Below are 23,934 nucleotides of genomic sequence, written 5' to 3'. Positions count from 1 at the left end.
AAATAAAAGAGGATACAAACAAATGGAAGAACATTCCATGCTCATGGGTAGGAAGAATCAATATCATGAAAATGGCCATACTGCCCAAAGTAATTTATAGATTCAATGCCATCCCCATCAAGCTACCAATGCCTTTCTTCACAGAATTGGAAAAAAACTACTTTAAAGTTAATATGGAACCAAAAAAGAGCCCGCATTGCCAAGTCAATCCTAAGCCAAAAGAACAAAGCTGGAGGCATCACACTACCTGACTTCAAACTATATTACAAGGCTACAGTAACTAAAACAGCATGGTACTGGTACCAAAACAGAGATATTGATCAATGGAACAGAACAGAGCCCTCAGAAATAACGTCGCATATCTACAACTATCTGATCTTTGACAAACCTGAGAAAAACAAGCAATGGGGAAAGGATTCCTTATTTAATAAATGGTGCTGGGAAAACTGGCTAGCCATATGTAGAAAGCTGAAACTGGATCCCTTCCTTACACCTTATACAAAAATTAATTCAAGATGGATTAAAGACTTAAACGTTAGACCTAAAACCATAAAAACCCTAGAAGAAAACCTAGGCATTACCATTCAGGACATAGGCGTGGGCAAGGACTTCATGTCTAAAACACCAGAAGCAATGGCAACAAAAGCCAAAATTGACAAATGGGATCTAATTAAGCTCAAGAGCTTCTGCACAGCAAAAGAAACTACCATCAGAGTGAACAGGCAACCTACAAAATGGGAGAAAATTTTTGCAACCTACTCAGCTGACAAAGGGCTAATATCCAGATTCTACAATGAACTCAAACAAATTTACAAGAAAAAAACAAACAACCCCATCAAAAAGTGGGTGAAGGACGTGAACAGACACTTCTCAAAAGAAGACATTTATGCAGCCAAAAAACACATGAAAAAATGCTCATCATCACTGGCCATCAGAGAAATGCAAATCAAAACCACAATGAGATACCATCTCACACCAGTTAGAATGGCATCATTAAAAAGTCAGGAAACAACAGGTGCTGGAGAGGATGTGGAGAAATAGGAACACTTTTACACTGTTGGTGGGACTGTAAACTAGTTCAACCATTGTGGAAGTCAGTGTGGCGATTCCTCAGGGATCTAGAACTAGAAATACCATTTGACCCAGCCATCCCATTACTGGGTATATACCCAAAGGACTATAAATCATGCTGCTATAAAGACACATGCACACGTATGTTTATTGCGGCACTGTTCACAGTAGCAAAGACTTGGAACCAACCCAAATGCCCAACAATGATAGACTGGATTAAGAAAATGTGGCACATATACACCATGGAATACTATGCAGCCATAAAAAATGATGAGTTCATGTCCTTTGTAGGGACATGGATGAAATTGGAAATCATCATTCTCAGTAAACTATCGCAAGAACAAAAAACCAAACACCGCATATTCTCACTCATAGGTGGGAATTGAACAATGAGAACACATGGACAAAGGAAGGGGAACATCACACTCTGGGGACTGTTGTGGGGTGGGGGGAGGGGGGAGAGATAGCTTTAGGAGATATACCTAATGCTAAATGACGAATTAATGGGTGCAGCACACCAGCATGGCACATGTATACATATGTAACTAACCTGCAGATTGTGCACATGTACCCTAAAACCTAAAGTATAATAATAATAAAATAAAAAAAGAATAAATATCAAAAATGTAAACATAAGGCATAATGATGACTACATGTTCTTTCTATGTCACATAAGAGCATTGCCTAATAGATCTATCGAAGGATCATTTAATATCTAAAGAAATTCCCTTTGTCTCACTTACTAATTACCATTAAGATGATAAAATGGCCTTAGAGGACACACTTTACTTCTAATTCAAGGTAATAATTGTCATTCTACCTGGTATGTTGCTCACATAGCAAAGATTATATATCTCATCAGAACAAAATTTTGTGCTTCAGATTGACTTTTGTCATGTCTTTAATAATTAGACAAATAAACCAAAAAAGGCAATTTATCCCTCTAAAAAGCCAAAGTTCTTTACAATTATCTTACCTTCTTTTACACTATATTGTCACTTTGACTAATAGGTAGCCAAGCTACAGGCAATCATTGTTCTCAGTGCCTATGAACCCATCTTAACCAAGTGTTAGATCACAACAGAATTTAGAGTAGAGTGACCTGAGAGTCCATAACTCTGCTTGTTGAAGCAAGAAGGAATTTAATGATACATTAAGGACATTGGAGTTAATTGTTTTAAGCAAAGAGCCAGCAGAAGTGATTAATGAGATGAGTAACATAATAACATTTATATTTAGGAAGAGATTCTGACATAAATATGAAGAAATAATTGACAGCAGATAAGACAGTCAGAAATTTGTAATAGTCCAAGATGAGAGGTCTGGAGGACTTTAATTGACACAGTGGCAATATGAATAAAGAAAGGTACCAAAAAAGTTTATACATACTATTGGAATATTCTGAGTAAGGGCTTCAAATGCTGGTGTTTCAAACTCAAATTTGGCCTCTGGTTGTTCTTCATTCACAATACCTTCAACATAATAGGCACGCACATCATACCTTGATTTCAATAAAATTTTACAAGGGTAGCGTCCAGATTGGAGAGGAAGAAATTGCAAAGGAAGTGGAACAGATCCATCTGAAGCTATCAAAATAATTTTAAAACAGTTCATTTAAAATCATATAAAACCTAAAATTCATCTTGGTAAGCAATATTTAATATTATTGTATTAAATTGTACTGCATAACCTAGAATAGGTTTCACTGGGATAACACAATACTTCTAAATCTCCAGGGCTTACCATGCAAGCTTATTTATCAATTAGAGTATATATACTGCACTGGTCAGAGAACAGTGTGCTCCTCAAAGTCACTCAGGACTCCATACTGTGAAAGATACCACCATCTTGCATTTGTACCATAAGAAATGTCTCTGCTCTTTGGCTGAGAGGTCAGGGGAAAAGGAATGGCTGGAAGTTTGCTCAAGGACTTTTCAGTTTTCAGCTCAAAATTAATATAAACATTACATTTAACTGGCCAGACCCAGCTATGTGACTCTACCTAATAGAAAGGGGGCTGAGATAGAAGGAAATACATGCAATATTAGATGGGCTTTACTGTCAGCCACATTTCTATGACTTAGAGGTGCTCTGTCTCACAGCAATCAAAATAATTTGCAACTTGGCCAGCAGATAGAAATAATTTTTTCATAGCTAATAACCAAGGGAACCAGAAAAGTGCATGTGTAATTAATACTTCTCATAACACCCCGTTACAACATTTACCTTAAGCTACTAGCTAATTTTACTTCTTACGCTAGGTTGAGCTATCTATTCTCATTCTTTCCTTTCAGGCAACACCACTTTTTCTCTGAAGGTCACCATTTCCTTGGCATCCATAAAATGAGAAAATAGTTATAAAAATTTGGCAACCCTAAAGTAGAATGCAGTATAAGAACATAATAAAAGTTTCATAGTTAATGCCAAACTATTTAAATAGTCAACAAACAACAAATGATTTTAAAAACATCTGACGCCTAATTCTGTACAAGGAAGTTCTCTGAAACCAAGAAAACAAATCAAGCATATCAATCAATTGGCCAGACACATATTATGACATTAAATGGCTACAATTTTAATTCTCCCAAAGTGAACACTTCAAATGTGAAAGGTGGCATGTTGTTTTCAAATACAATGAAATGTATATGCCAAGATATGCAAGAACATTTATACGCAAGAACATTCTATGCAAGAACATTAACTACCCTAAATCCTTTATCAAACAAGAGTTTATGTGTGTGTTATAAATTATACATTATGTAATGTTACATATCTTATATTAATTGAATATTATATAGCATATATTCCATGTCTATGTTGCTATATGTAATACAATATATATAATGTATAATGCTACATTGAATAGTACATATTAAAACATGCTGATAATGGATAATATTTGAAATTTGTATTACATCCAACAAGTTCAAGACTTCAGCTGGTCTGAGGAGAAAACAGTTACTCTCAAAGGCTCTCAGAATGTTATTTTTGTTCCATCCTATTCAAGCATAAACCTAATTTTAGAACACATTTTTTTCTTGGCAAAAAGGACTCCAGGCACATTTTATCATCTGTTGTTAATTGATTACTTTTATCCTGAGAGAGGTATTTGTGTTGTGGCAATCTCAATAGAACAAATCAGCACAGAAAATTATTTGTTGTTTTAATAACAGGCATAAACAGAACTCATTTTTTTTTCTTGGATGAAGAGAATGAAATAAAAATATTTAGAATATGTAATTTAAATAGAATTCTATTAATTTACGTTTATTTTATTTATATAAGAATTAAACTGTTCAGACAATTTTAAGAATTGCAGAATATCTATTGTTTTCATCAAAGATAAAAACCTCTTGCTATTTAATGCTACACAATCATTGCAACGCACAAGTTCAAGTATAAAATTTCTGTCAAAAGCTTTATGTTATACATTTCTTTTTCCAAAAAAAATGTTCATTTCCTAATGATTGCTGAGTCTGAAAGTTAAAGCCAAAGACATTCTTAAGTGTACATTTTCCAACTCATGAAATGTTTATGAGCAAGGACTTTAAGGGCTACACAATGTCAGCCCCTCTCTCTTACAAATCCAAAAAGTAAATCATTATAATAGTGGAATTTGTGGAAATTATAATTTTAATTTTGATGATGTATTTATAAATCAATATCTGTTTCATTTTTAAATATCCAAAATAATTTTATTAAGTTGTATAAGAAACATAAGTAGGGGTGATATATATTATAAATAAGAGATTTAAAAACTTCTGGGTTAAGATATTTATTTGACAGTATTTGCGTCCCCATCAGATGTAAACTAGCAGAGGTAGAAACCATTTTGATCTTCAGAAATTTGGAAATTTTACTGGACACATTGTGCCATCATATAATAATGGGACATGTTTTCTTAAATCTATTTCCAATTCTGGACTGTAGCAAATGCTGTCCATGCCTTGACATGTCCCCTTTAAGTATGCCTTAAAGGGCATGGATTTATGGATATGTGTGACTTCCTCCTTGAAAGTTCTCTCTAGACAAAGAATGGTACTCAGTTCTCACATAGATCATCCAGAAGTGGTAGTAAAAGCCTGCAGGAGCAGTACCAAACCAAAAATTGATCAAAATTGCTAAAAAACAAACGAACAAAAAAATCTGTTTTCTTGCCCTTTGGTTAGAAGAACTCTGAGGTGAATTTGACACCAACTTCCAGAGGCCCCCAGTGGGACTGAGTCCCAATTGCCTGCAATGATAACCTGATAATTAAAATCCCTGGAATTGGTTTCTTCTCTTTGCAGTCTCCTACTCCCCTACCTATGCTTTGGGATCACCTCTCAAACTACTTGCTCTCAAGACCAGATCTCAGGGTCTGCTTTGGAATTACCTAGCTTAACACATGCCCTAAATCCCAGGATAGAGAGGTTCCTGTCCTGGTCTCATGCTTTCTAGGGCCTTACTCTGATCCTCCTCTGGCATTGCCTCTCTGCACGTGCAAGAAGTACATGGGCCCAATGGGACAGATCTCTATGGATCCCAGCCCCACCCATGGTTCAAGTTCATGAGACATTATAATTCACAATCCATAGTTCCTTGATCCTGTTTACAGTGCTTTCACAAGACTCTTCCCTAGGTCAGTCCTCTTGGTAGAAGACTCCTAGAACTGTGCAGTAACTAAGAGGTCACTATTAGGAGGGTATGGACCAAGAGTAAGTGTGTGGGCTGACATATCCACATGTTTAAACATAAGAACCATTAGAGTGCATGTAAGAGTTGAAAGAAGACAATGATGTGGGCACCTGACTAGCACCCAGCTACCCTGTGCTGTCATTTTCTAGTGCAAAACTCTGAGGAGTCCAAAAATTCTAAATTCAAACTTGGTCTTCAAGGTTCTTATAAGGTTAGATTTGTTAAAATGGAATAATAGAATGTATTCTATTTTGAAATGTGTTAGTTTGATTTGTAAGTTTTTAAAATTTAGACATATGTTATGTGGGTTTCCATTTGTACTCTTGACTTGGGCATAACAAATGTTAGGGACTATCTGGATCTGTCCCTTCCATCCCTACTCAACTCAGATGTAGTTAACCTGTATCTTTTCTTTACAAGTGTGGCAATTGTCAAGATTCTATATTTAAAGATAACCGAATATATGTAAATTTACAGAAAAATTACAATTACTGAAGAAAATAAACATAAAGAAAGAATTTCTTGAAGTAAAGACTACATCATTTCATTTAACTTTGGTTATTGGAAGAAATCAGTGCTATCTACAGTTTTTCAAATAACCCATAAAAATATACTATGTTCAGATCCTAGAATAGGTCATAGTTGGAACAAAAAATCAATACCATTGTTTTGTTCAGCTACAACTGCATAACAAACTACCCAAAAACTTAGTGATTTAAAGCAACAACCATTCATTTGCTCATAATTCTGTGGCCTGAGCTCATTTAGGACAGCTTATCATCTCCACATGGTACTACCTGGGTATTTTGACCTGTGTATATACTGGGTATTGACTGTGGTCTTTGGATCTCAGCTGGGAATTCTGTCCATGAGCACTCAAATCCTGTATGAGATGAGCCCAATCATTTTTCATAGAGTACAGAAGAATTACCAGCAGCAAAAAAGAGACTAATGTAAAAGAAGCTATCAAATATCTGCCTCTTTCCCATTCCTAAATGATCCTTTGTCCAAAGCAAGTCACATGGCCACAACCAGGTCAACGAGGAAAGGGAGACTATACAAAACCTGTGTAAAGGCAGATATGATCCACTTGGGCTTTTACTGTAATAATCTACAATTCCCTAACTGCAGAGAAACATACATGTATAAAACTTGTGACCTGAAAAAGATAAAATCAACTGAGAGTTAAAACACTTTTTTTCAGTTTTGGTTCCAATTCTACATTGTGTGACCTTAAGCAAACAACTTAAGGTTTTTTTTTAAACTCAACTTCTTTTTTTTTCCTTTCATTTTTCAACCACAAGTTTATTTTCTAAATGTACTCTATATATTTTTAATACCAGAAAAGGGTTTATTTCCCCCCATGGATACAAGGTAGTCCCTCCCAGATATTTTTGGCATGTGATTTTAAAACTGAAAGCCATCTAAAAATAGTTGTGAAAGTTAAGACATAAGCATTATTTTAATATCCTCCCAACTATTTAAGAACATCAATTTTTAAAACAATTTTTAACTTTATAATTTTTTTAATTTTAGCTTTTATTTTAGATACAGGGAGGTACATGTATTGAATTTTTACATGGGTATATTGGACCCAGGTAGTGGGTATAATACCCAATAAGTAGTTTTTCAACCCACACGTCCCTCCAAACTTCTTAACCTCTTTCAATGAGTGGGATTTGATTAATAGCTTTCAAAAATTTTTATTTTCTGGCTTAGACGTACTGTGTATGAACAATATTTAAAATTGAATTAACATATAAAACAAAGGAAACTGGAGTTAATCTGGTTGAAGTAGAATGAGGAGCTAGAAGTCCCCATTTACTTCCATGGCCTCACTATAGATAAGCCAAAGCACTTCAGAAGAATTTTGGGGCTTCATAGAATATAATTTGATTAACTAATTTATTAGACTTGTTTGTGCCTTAATAGGTCATAATTGTATAAAAACACATCAAACATATGGAAGAGATTAAGTAATATAGTAAGTTGAACACTGCCTTCTATAGTTGTTTTTGGTATATTATTAACAAACAATAGTCAGAGCTTTTAATTCAGAAAATGAATAATTAAGAATGAATAATTATATTTATTACATGTATATACATAATTGTATAATATTTATTATAAGAAAACATGAATAATTATATTTTAGAGAATTTTTTGGCCTATTTGTTAATCACACTGCCATCTACTGCTAAAAACTCAATGTAGGCTTTTTTTCTATTGTATAAGTCAAAAGACTAACTTACCTGCTCTCTTAGGCCATTCTCGCATTGCTATAAAGAAATACCTGAGACTGGGAAATTTATTTAACTAAAAAAAAAGTTTAATTTGCTCACGGTTCTGTAAGCTATAAAGGAAGCATGGAAGTATCTGCTTGGCTTCTGGGGAGGACTCAGGAAACTTACAATCATGGCAGAAGACAAAGCAGGAGCAGGCATCTTACATGGCAGGAACACAAGTAAGAGAAGAGAGTAGGGGGAGGTACTATACACTTTTCAACAACCAGACCTCACTAGAACTCACTCACTATCCTGAGTACAGCATCAAGAGTATGGTGCTAAACCATTCATGTGAAACCACCCCTAAGATCTAATCACCTCCTACTAGTTCCCACTTCCAACATGGTGATTACAATTTGAAATGAGATTTGAGCAAGGACACAGATCCAAACTATATCACAAGTAAAGTGAAATTTTTCCCATTTTGGTTATATTATTATATTTTTGTAGGCATGTACATGAGTATCTGAATCACAAATACTCTGGAAAAGTGATTTTGCGCTAAAAACTGTTCATTACTATTTCCTCTTTAATAAAAATATGAAATGTAGCCATAGACATTAAAAAAAGAAATCAGCAGTTAAAAAATTTACAGTGTTTATTTTGTAAAAAATTTGTATTAGTAGAAATTTTGTAATATGGTCCACTCAGGAAAAAAATCCATTTTCTAAAATGGACTAACTGCTTAAATTGTTATATTTATTATAATATTCAATAAAATAATTTAAAATAATAAAGACCTATACTTATTATTGACAAATTCAATTTTTAAAATATTGGTTAAAATTCATTTTATTATTTAAAAAGAGGTTGAACTACTTTTCCTTTTCTATTACCAGGGAGATTTAAAATAATATAATACTTAGGGGATAAAAGACAAAGAGTGATAGGAAGAGAGAGGGGAAAGGAAAAGGAAAGAAAGGAAGAAAAGAAGAAAAAAAGAGGATAAATATAAAGGAGAGGGGAAGTAGGAATTGAGGAAGGAAAATGAAAAGTATTTGGAATGCTAAAAGAATGTCATGTGATCCTTTCTGCCGGACCAACCTCAAATGTCTGAAAGCACTGGACTTGCCTTCCCATGAAGTTTGTAAGTATCTGCCAGCAGGGCAGACTGGTATGCAGTTCCCTGTTACTGAAAAGTTGTTAAGTGCACATTCTCCCAGGTGCCCTAAAGCACAGGGAAAGAAGGTCATAGACAGATACCAGAGTGCTGTAGTATGTAAATGGCAAGGATGGCCAATCATTACCAGCACAGTCAAGCTAGCCTTAAGAGCTATAGAAAAACTTATTAATTTTGTTGTTCAAGTCTAGCAGGGCTTTATTAACCTTCTGTCTGCTTGATCTGTCAATTATTGAGAGAGGTCTAATAAGATCTTCCACTGTAATTTAGAATTTGTTCATTTCTCTTTTCACATTAATTGATTTTGGCTTTATACATTTTGAGAATATGTGTTCAGGTATAAATAATTTCAAAGTTTCTTCTCTAAGTTGGATTTTTCCCTTTTTGAATTAAGTAATACTTTATTTACCACAAAGTCTACTTGTTTTAATATTAATATATCTATGCCAACTATTTTATGATTAGTAAATACCTGGTATAGGTTTTTTGATATTTTACCAGGAAATTTTATAAACAGTATAAAGCTACATTTTAGTTTTCATTGTGAAAATATCACCTTTTATAGTTTAGTCTGTTCATATTTATTGTGATTAATGATATATTTGTGTTTATTTTAACATCTCATTTTTTGCCACACTTTATCCCATTTTATTTTGTTCTTTTCTATTCTTGAATTCTATTGAATTCATCAAGTTTTGTTTATTTTCATTTATGCCTCTACTGGTTTAGAAATTATACATTCTATCCCTATACTTTTCATTGCCCCAAATATTCAACATCTAATACTTCACATAAAAATATCTTACAGTAATTCAACCCTGGTCCCTAAAATGTAAGAACTTTACTTGCCTATAATGGCAAACCCTTCCTTATAAAGTTGCTATCTAGTAATTGAGCTCACTTTGTTTTGGTAACACCCGAATTATTTATTCTTATCATTATTTCTACAGTCAAATCCTCATGGGAGTTACCCACATTTACTGATTATTTTAGTAACCATTGTTCTTGGATCCCAATTCTCTCTTCTGAATTCAATTTCCTTCACCAATAAGAGGCCTTCTACTTGTTCTTTTACCAAAATCTCTGAGTTTTAAATGGTCTCAAGTTCATTGTTAAATTACAAATGTTATTATTTCATCTTTACTCATGAGTGATAGTTCACTAGGACATAAAATTCTAGACTGGTAGTTAATTTTCATCAGCACTATAATGCTATTGTCTTTTGGCTTCTAATGTTACTGTTGGTAATTCTGCCTTCAGTATAACTTTTGTTCCTTTAAAAATAATCTGCTTTTTTCTCTCATTGCTTTTTGGAATTTCTCTTATCTTTGCCATTCTATGGTTTCACTATGACCTATCTATCTACGTGTAAATTTAGGTATTCTTCTATTGTCTTCTGGAATTGTAGACATTTTATTTCTGCTTTTCCTTATTCTTATTTGCTCCTAGTAAGATAAGAAATTTATCTGTCTTAGGTGGTCACTTGTAGAGGACCTCATTCCATATTTACTTTACAGCAATCTCTTAGTTCTAACTATGGAGGTAACTCAATATGCAGCCCTTGGGCCCATTTCCTGTATCAAACAAGCATCTACCTATTAAATGTAGATAGGGTACTTGTTTGTTTGTTTGGTTTTTCACGCCCTGGCAGTTTTGTAATGATCTAAAGAAAAATTTACATCTTAAAAATATATATATAACATATATATGTATACATATACAAACAGGATATATATATATCTTTGTGTTAACAGGTTGAGTATTCCTTATCTGAAATGCCTGGGGCCAGAAGTATTTTAGATTTCAGAATTTTTCAGATTTCGGAATACACGCATATGCATAATGAGATAACTTAGGGATAGGACCCAAGTCTAAACAGGAAATTCATTTACGTTTCATATACACATTATATACATAGCCTGAAGGTAATTTTACATGACATTTTAAGTAACTTTGTTCATGAAACAAGTTTTGACTGCCTTTTGACTGTGACCTAATATGAGATCAAATGTGAAATTTTCCACCTGTGGCACCATGTTGGTGATCAAAACGTTTCTGATTTTGAGCATTTGGGGTTTTGGAACATTCAAATTTTGGATTTCCACGTTGGTTTTACTCAACCTATAATCAATAATGTGAACCCTGAAAATCTGAGACAGGTCTCAGTTAATTTAGAAAGTTTATTTTGCCAAGGTTGAGGATGCACACCCGTGATGTGACACAGTCTCAAGAGGTCCTGACAACATGTGCTCAAGGTGGTCGGGGCACAACTTGGTTTTATACATTTTAGAGAGACATGAGACATCAATCAATATGTGTAAGATGTGCATTGGTTCAGTCCGAAAAGGTGGGCAAAGGTGGGACAACTCGAAGAGGGGAGGGGGCTTCTAGGTTATAGGTAGATAAGAGACAAATGGTTGTATTTTTCTGGGTTTCTGATTAGCCTCTCCAAAGGAGGCAATTAGATATGCATTTATCTCAGTGAGCAGAGGGGTTACTTTGAATAGAATGAGAGGCAGGTTTGCCCTAAGCAGTTCCCAGCTTGACTTTTCCCTTTAGCATAGTGATTTTGGGACCTCAAGATTTAGTTTCCTTTCACAATAAACTCTTGTCCCACCAATAATATTACAGCCAAAAATATAACCCCAACCACTTAGGCAAGTGAACGGACCCCCTCTGGGCCAAGGGAAACCTGAAACATTGAATTACCAGCCATGATGGAAAGGGAGGTTGGACATGCTTTGTTATACCCTCTCCCTTTTGGAGTTTAGACACAATTGACCATCATTAAGATTAAATAGATATCATAAGACTGATGAAACAGACTCTTTTTGTCAATAAGATACCATATTCCAAACTGACTCTGGTATAGCATCACATGGCAAATAACAAACCCTGAATGAAATAAAATCATTTTACCCCCAAATACATGTCTTTGACATATTTTGAAATGGCCCTGCAAATCTTCTGTCTTTTGTGGGAGTAATTTTGTATCTGTAGAGAATCTTCATTAATGCATCTAAGGCCTTTCCTGATCCAGGAGAGATTAACTAAGCATCTGATACCTTCTAAGGTCTGAAAAAAAGACATTTAGCATCTATTGTCTCTGATGCTTGCTATCCGGAGGCTTCATCTACATAACAAGAACCTTGGCTTCCACAACTCCATTTATCTTAACTCAAGCATTTCTTTCCAAGCAGATTTCCAGGACTGCAAGTCTTCAGCTTAACTCTTTAACCCAATTGCCAATGAGAATACCTTTGAATCCTTCTATAACTGTAATAAGCCCTCCCTGTCCTCACATTGAGATGTTTGACTTTTCTAGGCCAAACCAATGTATACATTACATGTATGTATTGCCTTATGTCTTTCCCTGTAACTTGTCTCCCTAAAATGTATAAAACCAAACTGTAACTCGACCATCTCAGGCACTTTCTCAAGACCTCCTGAGATTGTTCTCCTGTCTATGGTCACTCATATTGGCTCAGAATAAACCTCTTTAAATATTTCACAGAGTTTGGCTTTTTCATCAACAAAATGCACCACAACTCACGTAGACTCTTCCCATCTCTGCCACCACTACTACCAGATCTCATGTGAGATTCTATACATTATTGATAGAGTGATGTTCCTCCAGATAATCCCCTACAGTTGTGGTCATTTTTGGGAATTCCTCATAGGATACATGTAAATGGCTAGCTGCTGTTGAATTTTCGGATTTCTGTAGGCCTTCATGGGTCATTTAATGAAAAATTAGGAGGGGACCTTTCAAGGAGTTCTAGCTTGATAGCATTTTAAATAGTAAGTTTTCTATTATTTTCTAAGAAGACAAAATTACCCAAAGAGAACAACTGATGTAAGATTTCACTTTCTAATTAACCCCTCCACATGGAAAGAAGCAAGGGATTGCTGACAGCAAATTAACTTTGTATTTTGCATTTTCATTTCTGAATACCATAAACTTTCTCTAATTGTCCTGTATTAAATATAAATTCTGTTTTGAACAGAGTTTATTTTTAATTTTTGCAGACTGATTTACTAAGTGTGCAAATTAGTATGAATGTGCTGCTAGCAAGCCAATAAACAGCATGTTTTCTAGGACTTAAAATAATGGAAAAGACTACTGAAATTTCTGATTAAATGCCTCCCTAAATATATAATTGTAGAGCATGTGTTTACCACTGAAGACCTAACAGAAAGAACAAGAAACTTTTTAAAAGTTCACTTTTTTTTTACTTACCAGCTCTGTCTATAAATATAAAGCAATGAAAGGCAAAGTGAGTCATTTATCAAATTGAAAATAAATTAAAACTATAAGGACAAAGAATATATGCAGTCTTGGATATTACAATTATGTTGAATTGGTTATGTTACATTATTTGACTTAAAGTGTATTTTTTTAAATAACATAGAACACAATCAAATCTCATTGTAGTTTGGTGCATGCAGAGTAGGAGGAAAGAATTTGGATTGCGCAGAAAACCAGAATGTTAGTAGGACATATATTTGTAACTAAACAAAGTACACAGGGCATATATTTGCAACTAAACAAAGTACAGACTCTGACTATGAGAAGATAGGTATGGGAGGGCAGCAGGAGAAAGGCATATCCATCAAGTAACAGTTATCACTGGGGTTATCTAAAGTAAGAAGCAAGCTTAAAATAAGGGGAGTCGCATAGAGAAAAGAAGAAATGGGTAAGGCTGGTATAAAAGACGCCAATTCCACAGTTAAAGACCCAGGATCCCAAGTTGAGGGAAAGATTCCTATTTGAGGGGCCTAGGGCTATCCAGAACAATGATGGATGGCAGGAAGAGTGTACCAGTACCCAGGGAGGGAGCTGGCAGAAACAAACTAGGCTGTTAAGAAATAAAGTAGAAATCTATGCCTGAGTGCTGGGACAGACATGACAGAAATAAATGTATCACAAAGAAGGATCATGCTGAAACCACCTTTGCAAAAATTAATACTGAGAAAATAATGACAGTGAAAGAAATCTTATCCAATGGAGTCCATCTTTCTTCTAACCTCCAAGCCATTGTTGTTTATTCCTGGGTATGAGCCAAAATAACTTTGGGAGGAACTCTGTTTATAGTTTAACTTTGAAACAAAGATGGTAACAGCTGTTTCCCAAAACAAATCCCCTTCCTACCTGGGGACAAGACTGCCTTTACGGAACTAATACATTAGACAAAAGATTAGAAATTATGGCTTAGGAGTCTGAACCTCCCCAAATTGCTCCTGGAGATAACATCACTATTGTAAAGCCCAAGATCAGTGCTTGAGATATTTTGTAGACCCTGTATCCTGGATGGATCAGCTGCCAGGAGCCAGATGATAAACTGGCTCATCTGGTCTTGTGGCCTCCACCCAGGAACTGACTCAGTTCAAGAGGATGGCTTTTACCCTCTGTGATTTCATCTCCAACCTGACCAATAAGCAATCCCCACTTCTCCAGCCCCTACCTGAAAAATTATCCTTAAAAACTCTGATCCTTGAATTCTTGGGGAGACTAATTTAAGTAATAATAAAACTCGAGTCTCCCATACAGCCAGCTCTGCATAAATTAAACTCTATTACAATTCCCCTGTTTTGATAAATTGGCTCTGTCTAGGCAGCAGGCAAGGAGAACCCATTGGGTGGTTACAATGTAAATGAGGAGCCAGGGCTAACAGATCCAGCATCAGACTGGTACTCATTAGACTGCAAGTAGGACATGGGAGACTGGTGGTCAGCACAGATGGGCCTCTGGAACCCACTCCTGAGATAGAAATTGGCTCAGGACCTGGGATGGAACATGTCAACAGGGATGGTAGGGGGAAGAGAAAGAAATCAGAAATTTAGTACATTTAATGCTACTGACAATGTAACTAGTAGACTTCTTTAAAATAACAATACTACAACTGAGGTATTGCTTCTCACAAGAGGGCATTAGCTGCGGGGCTCTGCCCGCAGACCCTGACCCAAATGACGGATGAATAAAACGTACACTGACACACAGATATTCTATTTTGCCAGTCCTGCTGAGTGTCTGACCGCCTGCCCACCAAGAGAGGTTTGTCACTGCGGCCAGCCCTGAGCAGCTTGCACTCCAGGCATTTATTTCATATACAATTAACAACAGAAGCTCTGAGTCAACACACTTGTGGGTAATTAACATGGTTAAGAGAGTAGTTCTCAGAATGATTAAAACTCAGGTACCATGGTCTGAAATAAATACCATTAGGGGGCAACATCCCTAGTTGACCTCCCCCGGAGAGGGCCATCTGGCTCAAAGGTTAGTTAATGGAGGTAGGGTAAACAGACTTAACTGGGGAAGCCTCTATTGTCCCTAGTATTTACCCTATGACCTAATGCTCTAAGGTAAGCACCAGCTGCCTTCAGCCTGTTCAATTATTACAAGCTATGTAACCTTTCGGCCTTCCAAAAGGTTTGTGACTATTCCCTATAACTTTCCCTAATATTTCTGCCACCATTCTGATTGAATCCCAACAGACAACATTTCTGTATGTGATACATTTTATGTGCCTCCTCCAATTTTTTTATGTGCTTACTCCAATTCCTTCGCTGCCACCACCTCCATCAACCTCAGCCACTTGTCTTTTTTTCCAGGTTCCTCTGCTTGGGGGTGACCTATATCTTGCATCAGAAGCAATAGAGCCAACCCCTTCACTGCTCCTTTACAACCAAGCAGACCTGCCCCCATGCTCAGTTTCAGGCTCCTTTTGCCTTGGTAGAGCATGGAATTTGACATCTTAGCTAGAGAATGCCACCTTAAATGCTAGGGCCATGGAGTAAAGTTTAGCAAACAGGAACAGGAGACAAGGAAGTAAATATGCAGATAAAATTCCTTTTCTTTTCTCTCTCACATTGATGGCTCAAGGGTACTTTGCAGAGACACCTGCTGAGCAATCTGATGCATATACAGTCATGCACTATCTGGTCAACCACTGAGTGCCTATATGATGGTGGTCCCATAAGATTATAATGGAGATGAAGAATTCCTACTGCCTAGTGACGTCATAATGTCCTGCTGCAGTGCATATTATGTGGTGATGCTGGTGTAAACAAACCTACTGAGCTGCCAAGTGGTATAAAAGCCTAGCACATACAATTATGTACAGTTCATAAAACTTTATGGTAATAAATTACCAGAATTTATTTGCCATGGCAAATAATTACCAGCCTGTGTTGTTGATTTATGTATTTATTATACTATACTTTTTCTTGTTATTTTAGGGTGTCCTGCTAAAAATTAACTGTAAAATAGTCTCAGGCAGTTACTTCAGGAGGTATTCCAAAATAAAATATTGTTATTATAGTTATTATAGGAGATGACAGCTCCATGCATGCTATTGTTCCTAAAGAACTTCCAGTGTGGGACAAGATGTGGAGGTGGAAGATAGTGATATTGATGATCCCGACTCTGTGTAGGCCTAGGGTAATGTGTGTGCTTGTGTCTTAGTTTTTAACAAAGAAGTTTAAGAAGTAAAATAAATAAATAAATAAACTTTAAAGTAAAAAAATTTATAGAATAAGGATATAAAGAAAGAAAATATTTTTGTACAGCTACATATGTTTTAGCTAAGTTTTATTACAAGAGTCAACAAGTTTAAAAATACTAAGAAGTTTATAAAGCAAAAAAGTTATAGTAAGCCAAGATTAATTTATTATATAAAATTAAAAAAATAAATTTAGTGTAGCCTAAGTATCAGTGTTTATAAAGTCTACAGGAATGTACAGTAATCTTCTAGGACTTCACATTCACTCACCACTCATTCACTGACTCTCCTAGAGCAATTTCCAGTCCTATAGGTTCCATACATGGTAAGTATCCTGTACAGGTATATCTTTTTTAAAATATTTTATACCCCATTTGTACTGTACCTTTTCTAGGTTTAGATATGTTTAGCTACACAAATACTTAGCAGTGTGTTACAATTGCTTACAGTATTTGGTACAGTAACTTGGTGTGCAGGTTTGTAGCCTCAGAGCAACAGGTTGTACCATATAGCCTAGGTGATTAGTAGGCTATACCATCTAGGTTGGTGTAAGTACACTGTGATGTTCGTACAAAGATGAAACCACCTAACAAGGCATTTCTCAGAATGTATCCCCTTTGTTAAGCCATGCATGATTGTATTCACAGAGGTAAGTTGTGGATACTGAGGCAACGGCTCATGTATCATGCATTGCTTTACCTCCCATCCTTCCCTTCCTTGTTTCTATTTTTATTTTTCCACTCTCAGTGCCCTGAATTCGCATCTCCCAAATAAAGTATTCGTATTTAATTATTGCTTAAGGTTTTATTTTCTAGGGGACTCAAACTAAGACAATTACTAGAGTAAGAATAAACAGCATTGTGATTTCACATTTTGTGCAGCATAACATAATGGAAACAGAATAGAGGAAGACTTAGCAGGCTTACTCAGTGTACTTACTCTAATTACTTAGTAGACTTGAATGCTTACTCAGGAGACTTGATGTGATCTCCTACATGGTCTGTGAAGACACTTAAATTTCCTGGGCCTAACATTCTCCCTTTTACAAATGGAGATGTTGGACCATGGTGGCATTATGCTGTGCAAGTGGTGGTTCCCCAATTTATTCTAATACATGGATTAACTACACAAGTGATCTGGGCAGGGATAATTTTGATAATATAGGTTTCTAGACTCCTTCCAAACTGAGGATAATTCAGTAGGCCTAGAGTTGGGCCTGGAATATGTATTTTGTTGCAGGTACCCAGGTACCACTGATGTACATCCAGGGTTGGTGACCACTGGCAAACAACAACCAAAAGTGAGCTGGAGTGGCTATACTACAATTATAAATGAGCTTTAAGTCAAAAAATGTTAAAAGAGCCAAAGAACATCATTATAGAATGATGAAAGTTCCATTATTTAAGAAGATACAGCAATTAGAAACATATATAACCATAAAATGTAATCCTCAAATATATAAAACACATTGACAGAATTAAAGAGAGAAATAGGCTTTTTAATAATAATATATAATAATAATAGTTGGAGGTTACCATACCTCACTTTCGATGCAGTGGCATGATCCTGGCTCATTGCAACCTCTGCCTCCCAGGTTCAAGAAATTCTCGTGTTTCAGCCTCCGGAGTAGCCAGGATCACAGGCTTGTGCCACCACGCCCAGCTAATTTTTATGTTTTCAGTAGAGATGGGGTTTCGCCATGTTGGCCAGGCTGGTCTCGAACTCCTGGTCTCAAGCAATCTACCCACCTTGGCCTCCCGAAGTGCTGAGATTACAAGCATGATGATCCACTGCTCCTGGCTGCGTATAGTTTTTAAATTGGTGTCCTTGGAGAGGGGATGATCAATGGAGGCTTGTATTCTGCCATCTTGCTCTGCTTATCTCTGATACACTTTCAATATACAAAAATATTGTGTTTCTATATATTTGTAATGAATAATTTAGCATGAAATTAAGAAAGCAATTACTTTTAAGATATTATCAAAAAGAATAAAATAGGAATATATTTAACTAAAAAAAGTGTAAAACTTATACTCTGAGAAATATAAAACCCATTTTAAAAAAATAAAGAATTTCTAAAGACATAAAAAAAAATTCCAAATTTCTGATTCAAGACAATATTGTTAAGATAACAATCCTCCTCAAATTGATCTACAGAATCAATGCAATACTTATCAGAAGGCCCGTAGGCTTCTTCTTATAAATCAACGAGCAGATTCTAAAATCCATTTGTGGTTGGGAAGGGTCTGGAATAAGCAAAATAATCTTGTTAAAAAGAAAAATATTGAAGGACTCACACTTTCTGATTTCAAAACTTACTACAAAGCAATAGTAATTAGACCAGTTTGGGACTGGCATGAGGACAGACATGTAGACCAATGGGATAAAATAAAGAATACAGAAATAAACTATGTATCTATGGTCAATTGATTTTTTTATTTCAAAAATTGTTTTTACTTAGAAGCATTCAGAATGTCAACAAAACAGCTGAAACTGTTTCTTTTTTGCAATTAGAGAGATATTCAGTTAACAGAACAATTATTTTGTGTTAGATGCATCACAGACAATTGAAGAAGAAAAAACTACCATCCCTATATATAACTAATTTGTGCTGTGCACTAACGAGAATCTGATTTAAATTTCCACGCCAATTTACAACCCCCATATTCTACCAGGCAAGGTTAGTGGCTATTGTAAATACCACCAGAACAGGGCTTTCTAAAGACACATTCAGTAGTGTGTTAACTATACAAAAAAAAAGACACTGTACAGTTAAAAAACAAATCTTACACAGCCTTACATTTCAATTTTTTTTCTTTAAAAGAAGGGAGTTGTGTACAGGGGGATTAAATGCTTTATAGACAAGAAAAAAAGACTACACTAGAAGCAACTTATCCATCATCATCATCTTCATCTTCTTCCTCCCCTTGATCTTCATCTTCTTCATCTTCCTCCTCTTCTTTCTTTTTCTTACTGTTTTCAACCTTTACAACTCCCTTTTTTTTGCTGCATCAGGCTTTCCTTTAGCTTGATATGCAGCAATATCCTTTTTGTATTTTTCCTTCAGCTTCACAGCCTTCTTTTCATGAGGCTGCTTTTCATCTGCAGCAGTGTTATTCCACATTCCTCCCAGTTTCTTTACAATATCACTAGTGGACTGGACAGGATGTTCTCCTTTGGTTTTTGGGTGATACTCAGAACAGAACAGAAAAAAGGCCGAAGGAGGCATCTTAGGTGCATTGAGATCCTTGAACTTCTTTTTTGTCTCCCCTTTAAGTAGGGATATATTTTCATTTCTCTTTCATAACAGGCCTTGTCTGCCTTTGCCATGTCTTCAAATTTTCCTTTCTCTTTAACAGACATGGTCTTCCACCTCTCTGAGCAGTTCTTAGAAAACTCTGAGAAACTGACTGAAGCATCTAGTTGTTTCTTCTTGTGCTCCTCCTGAGCAGTTTGCACAAAAAATGCATATGATGACATTTTGCCTCTTGGCTGCTTAGGGTCTCTTTTGCCCATGTTTAGTTACTTTTCTTCAGTGAGGCACAGAATTGCCCAGTGCCCTTCTGGCTCTCACCTGCCCTGGCACTGTCTCTATGGAGATCAATGTACTGCAATGGCTGTGAGAGGGTCAACTGATTTTCAACAAAGGTGCCAAGATCATTCAGTGTGGAAAGAGTAGTGTTTTCAACAAATGCTGCTAAGACGACTTGGTAGCCACATGCAAAGGAATGAAGTTCTCACAGGATATACAGATATTAACATAAAATGGATAAAACACCTAAATGTGAGAACTAAAGCTATGAAAGTCTTACAAGAAAGATAAGGATAAATCTTCATGACCTCACATTTGGCAATGGATTCTTAGATATGATCAAAAGCAAGAGCAACAAGAACAACAAAAACAGTTAAACTGGACTTCATTGAAATAAAAAACTCCTGTGCTTCAAAGGATACTATCAAGAGAGTAAAAAGACAACTTACAGAATGGGAGAAAATACTTGCAAATCATATGTCTATCTGATAAGATATTGTATCTGAGATATAGAAAGAACACTTGCAACTCAATGATAAAAAGACAACTAAATTTTTAAAGTGGGTAAAAAATCCGAATAGACATTTATACAAATAAGGTATACAAATGGCAAATAAGCACATGGAAAGGTGCTCAACATCATTATTCATCAGGAAAATGCCAATGAAAACCTCAGTGAGACACTACTTCTGCTCACTAGGATGGCTAGAATCAAGAAGTCAGACAATAACAAGTGTTGCCTATGATGTGGAATAATTAGAATCCTCATACACTGTTGGTGGGAATGTAAGATGGTGCAGCCACTTTGGAAAAAATTTTGGCAGTTTCTCAAATGGTTAAACATAGAGTTACCCATATGATTCAACCCTTCTACTCACAGATGTATACCCAAGATAAATAGAAACATATGTCTGCATAAAACCTTGTACACAAATGTTGATAGCAGCATTATTCATGGTAGCTAAAAGGTAGAAACAACCCAAATGTCCATTAACTGATGAATGGATAAACAAAGTAGGGCATAGTCACAAAATGGAATATTATTTGATCATTACTAGAAATGGCATACTGCTACGTGAAGAAGCCAGTCAGAAAATGTAACATACGATTCATTTTACATGAGATCTCCAAAATAGGCACTTCTATAGAGATAGACATTAGATTAGTGACTGCTTAAGGCTGATGGGATGGTGGAGGATGGAGGGGCATGGTACCTAAAGAGTACTGGGTTTTTTTTGAGACCATAAAAGTGTTCTAAAATTGACTGTGTTAATGACTACACATATTTATAAATATACTGAAAACTATTGAATTATACACTTTAAATTTGTGAATTGTATGGTATGTGAAAGATATCTCAACAAACCTTAAAATCAAAATACATAAATAGAGGATTAGAGATCTGAGTGTGAGCACAGGTGAATATCCTTTTATTTTTTACTTGATGTAAATTCAAATGACAAGTATCCTTTATGGTTATTTTTGCAACTCTTCTAGGAAGATAGACTATAATAAAATTTATTATATTTATAATTAAATTTACATTTAAAGACCAAAAACAGAGTTGTCATTTCCTTGCTCTTGCCAATTTGGGTTTGCTAAAAAATTTATGTTTTGATCTTATAAGATTTAAATGTAGTATATGGGTTACTGATTTTCTTCCAGAATCTAATCACATTCTTATATGGACTATAATTGGACAGGATGCTTTACAATTGTGGCAATCCTCTCTGAAAGATACATATAAATTATATTTCTAAGTGAGTTAAAGAAATTCAATTTTAAATTTGTTTTGCAAATTTGAAGAGTTTTTGCCAAAAACTAATGTGACGAATATAATAACACAAGCTTAACCCTTGTTATTTTGAGAAAAATTAACCGACTCATACTTTTAATATTAGGTAAGTTTTGGCAATGCTAACAATAAAGTATAATAGATTTGTTCCAATTAAAGTCAGCTTACATCATTAAAACTAGCATTTAATTTGATATTCTGTTAAACAAAATTTATTTTTTATCCTGTTTGAAATGTATTTGTGGTTATTCCATATGATACAGAGATGTAGAGTTTATTTACAAAGTATGTTTCATAAGTTTTTGGTTTTTTTGTTTGTTTGTTTTTATTTTGGGGGAGATAGAGTTTCTCTCTTGTCGCCCAGGCTGAAGTGCAATGGTGTGATCTCGGCTCACTGCAAACTCCGCCTCCCAGGTTCTAGCAATTCTCCTGCCTCAGCCTCCCAAGTTGCTGGGATTACAGGCACCCGCCACCATGCCAGGCTAATTTTTGTATTTTTAGTAGAGACGGGGTTTCACCATGTTGGCCACACTGGTCTCAAACTCCTGACTTCAGGTAATCCACCCATCTCGGCCTCCCAAAGTGCTGGGATTACAGGCATGAGCCACCGCACCTCACCTATTTTATGTTTTAAGGATTAGTTTAGTTTCATTTTTTCACAATTTTTCAATTATATTTTGAGGCTGAAGAGTAATTTAGCTATTAATGTATTTAATCTTCGTAAAATGAGAACTGCAGTTGACCATTGAACAACACGTATTTGAACTGTATGGGTGCACTTACATGCAGATTTTTTTTCAACCAAATGTAGACAGAAAATACAGTGTCTGTGGGCCGTGAACCCGTGTATACCCAGGGCTGAGTTTTCTTATCAGTGAGTTCCCCGAGATCCATTGTGGGACTTGAGTATGAGTGGATTTGAGTATACACGGGTGGTTCTGGAACAAATCCCCTGTGCATACTGAGGGATGACTGTACATATAGTATTAGTTATTGATAATAAATATTTTCTACATATTTACAATTACGTTACACATTAAAAAGTTGTCATGGATGATTTACTGGTATTTCAGCCACCAATTTAACTGCTAATTATTAGTGAATATTTTAAAATTAGGGAAATTGGAATTAGGTGGGAGAAGGGACAGAAGGATAACAGTGCTCCTACAATATGCTCTTCTAACATGTCTGTCACATTAGAAGATCAATATTTAGATCAATATTTTGAATTAATCTAATTTCTTCTTCTTCTCCCAAGAGAGAAGGAGCAGAAGAAATTAGAGCGATACAAAATACTAGAAACTGAAGTCATTAACACTTAGGAATGAGGGTTTTTTGCTCCATATTAATTGATCAGCAAAACCAGCCCGGAGCATTTTGTTTGAGTGCTTTGGCAAATATTGCTCATATAGGACTCTGTATATTGGGGAAGTGATTTGGATAATTGCTAGTGGAAACATAGCAGGTCTCCTGCTTAGCTATGCTAGCAATTTAAGGCCAATAAAGCTCTGCCTGTCCATAAATTTCAACATCCCAGGAACCACAGGTAGAAGGGATTGTAAGTCAATATCTACACCCAGGTTCAATTCTGAGTTTTGTGAGGCATGAGGTTGTCACAATTTGCGGGAGGGGCCTTCCAAAAGAGCAATAATGTAAAATTAGAAATATAAAAGTAGGTACAGGGACTAGGAAAGGGGGTCAAAAAAGTAAAAAATCATAAAGCTTCTGCTCCTTTGGTATCACAGTAAATCCGTCCCTAAAATCACTAAATGTTTCAGTAAAGACTGATTGACAACATTAATGTGAGAGGAAAGAAAGCCACTTTTTTAATACCTTAAAACTAGCTTCTTTTGATGAGTTTAGAACTTCAAGTGATCATAAATATGGTCCTACTTCTACCTGTCTTCTGCAGTTAGGGGAACACTGGGCTATCCCTGGTTCTCCAGATAAAT

The 23,934-nt window shown here is 35.5% G+C and overlaps 1 protein-coding gene and 1 pseudogene across 2 annotated transcripts in view, besides 1 other annotated feature; both read right to left on the bottom strand.

Moving 5' to 3' along the window:
• Positions 1-23,934, bottom strand: part of CFAP47 (cilia and flagella associated protein 47) — a 465,584-nt gene that overhangs the window by 154,033 nt on the left and 287,617 nt on the right. For both annotated transcript variants that reach the window (NM_001304548.2, XM_017029452.2), the window contains exon 46: positions 2,461-2,657. In NM_001304548.2, the coding sequence (NP_001291477.1) occupies positions 2,461-2,657 (197 nt within the window). The remainder of the gene's footprint in view (positions 1-2,460; positions 2,658-23,934) is intronic.
• Positions 15,791-16,292: an enhancer, noted in NCBI's record as "NANOG hESC enhancer chrX:36233110-36233611 (GRCh37/hg19 assembly coordinates)". NCBI's record gives its function as "activates a minimal SCP1, AML or CMV promoter by ChIP-STARR-seq in naive H9 embryonic stem cells {active_cell/tissue: H9 hESC(naive)}" and the evidence as "EXISTENCE:reporter gene assay evidence [ECO:0000049][PMID:30033119]".
• HMGB1P16 (high mobility group box 1 pseudogene 16) lies at positions 19,353-20,281 on the bottom strand (annotated as a pseudogene).

This window comes from Homo sapiens, chromosome X (genome assembly GCF_000001405.40).
Source record: "Homo sapiens chromosome X, GRCh38.p14 Primary Assembly".
Lineage (NCBI taxonomy): Eukaryota > Metazoa > Chordata > Mammalia > Primates > Hominidae > Homo > Homo sapiens.
The sequence above is the reverse complement of the archived record's forward strand: the minus strand, read 5'-3'. Positions and strand labels throughout refer to the sequence as shown.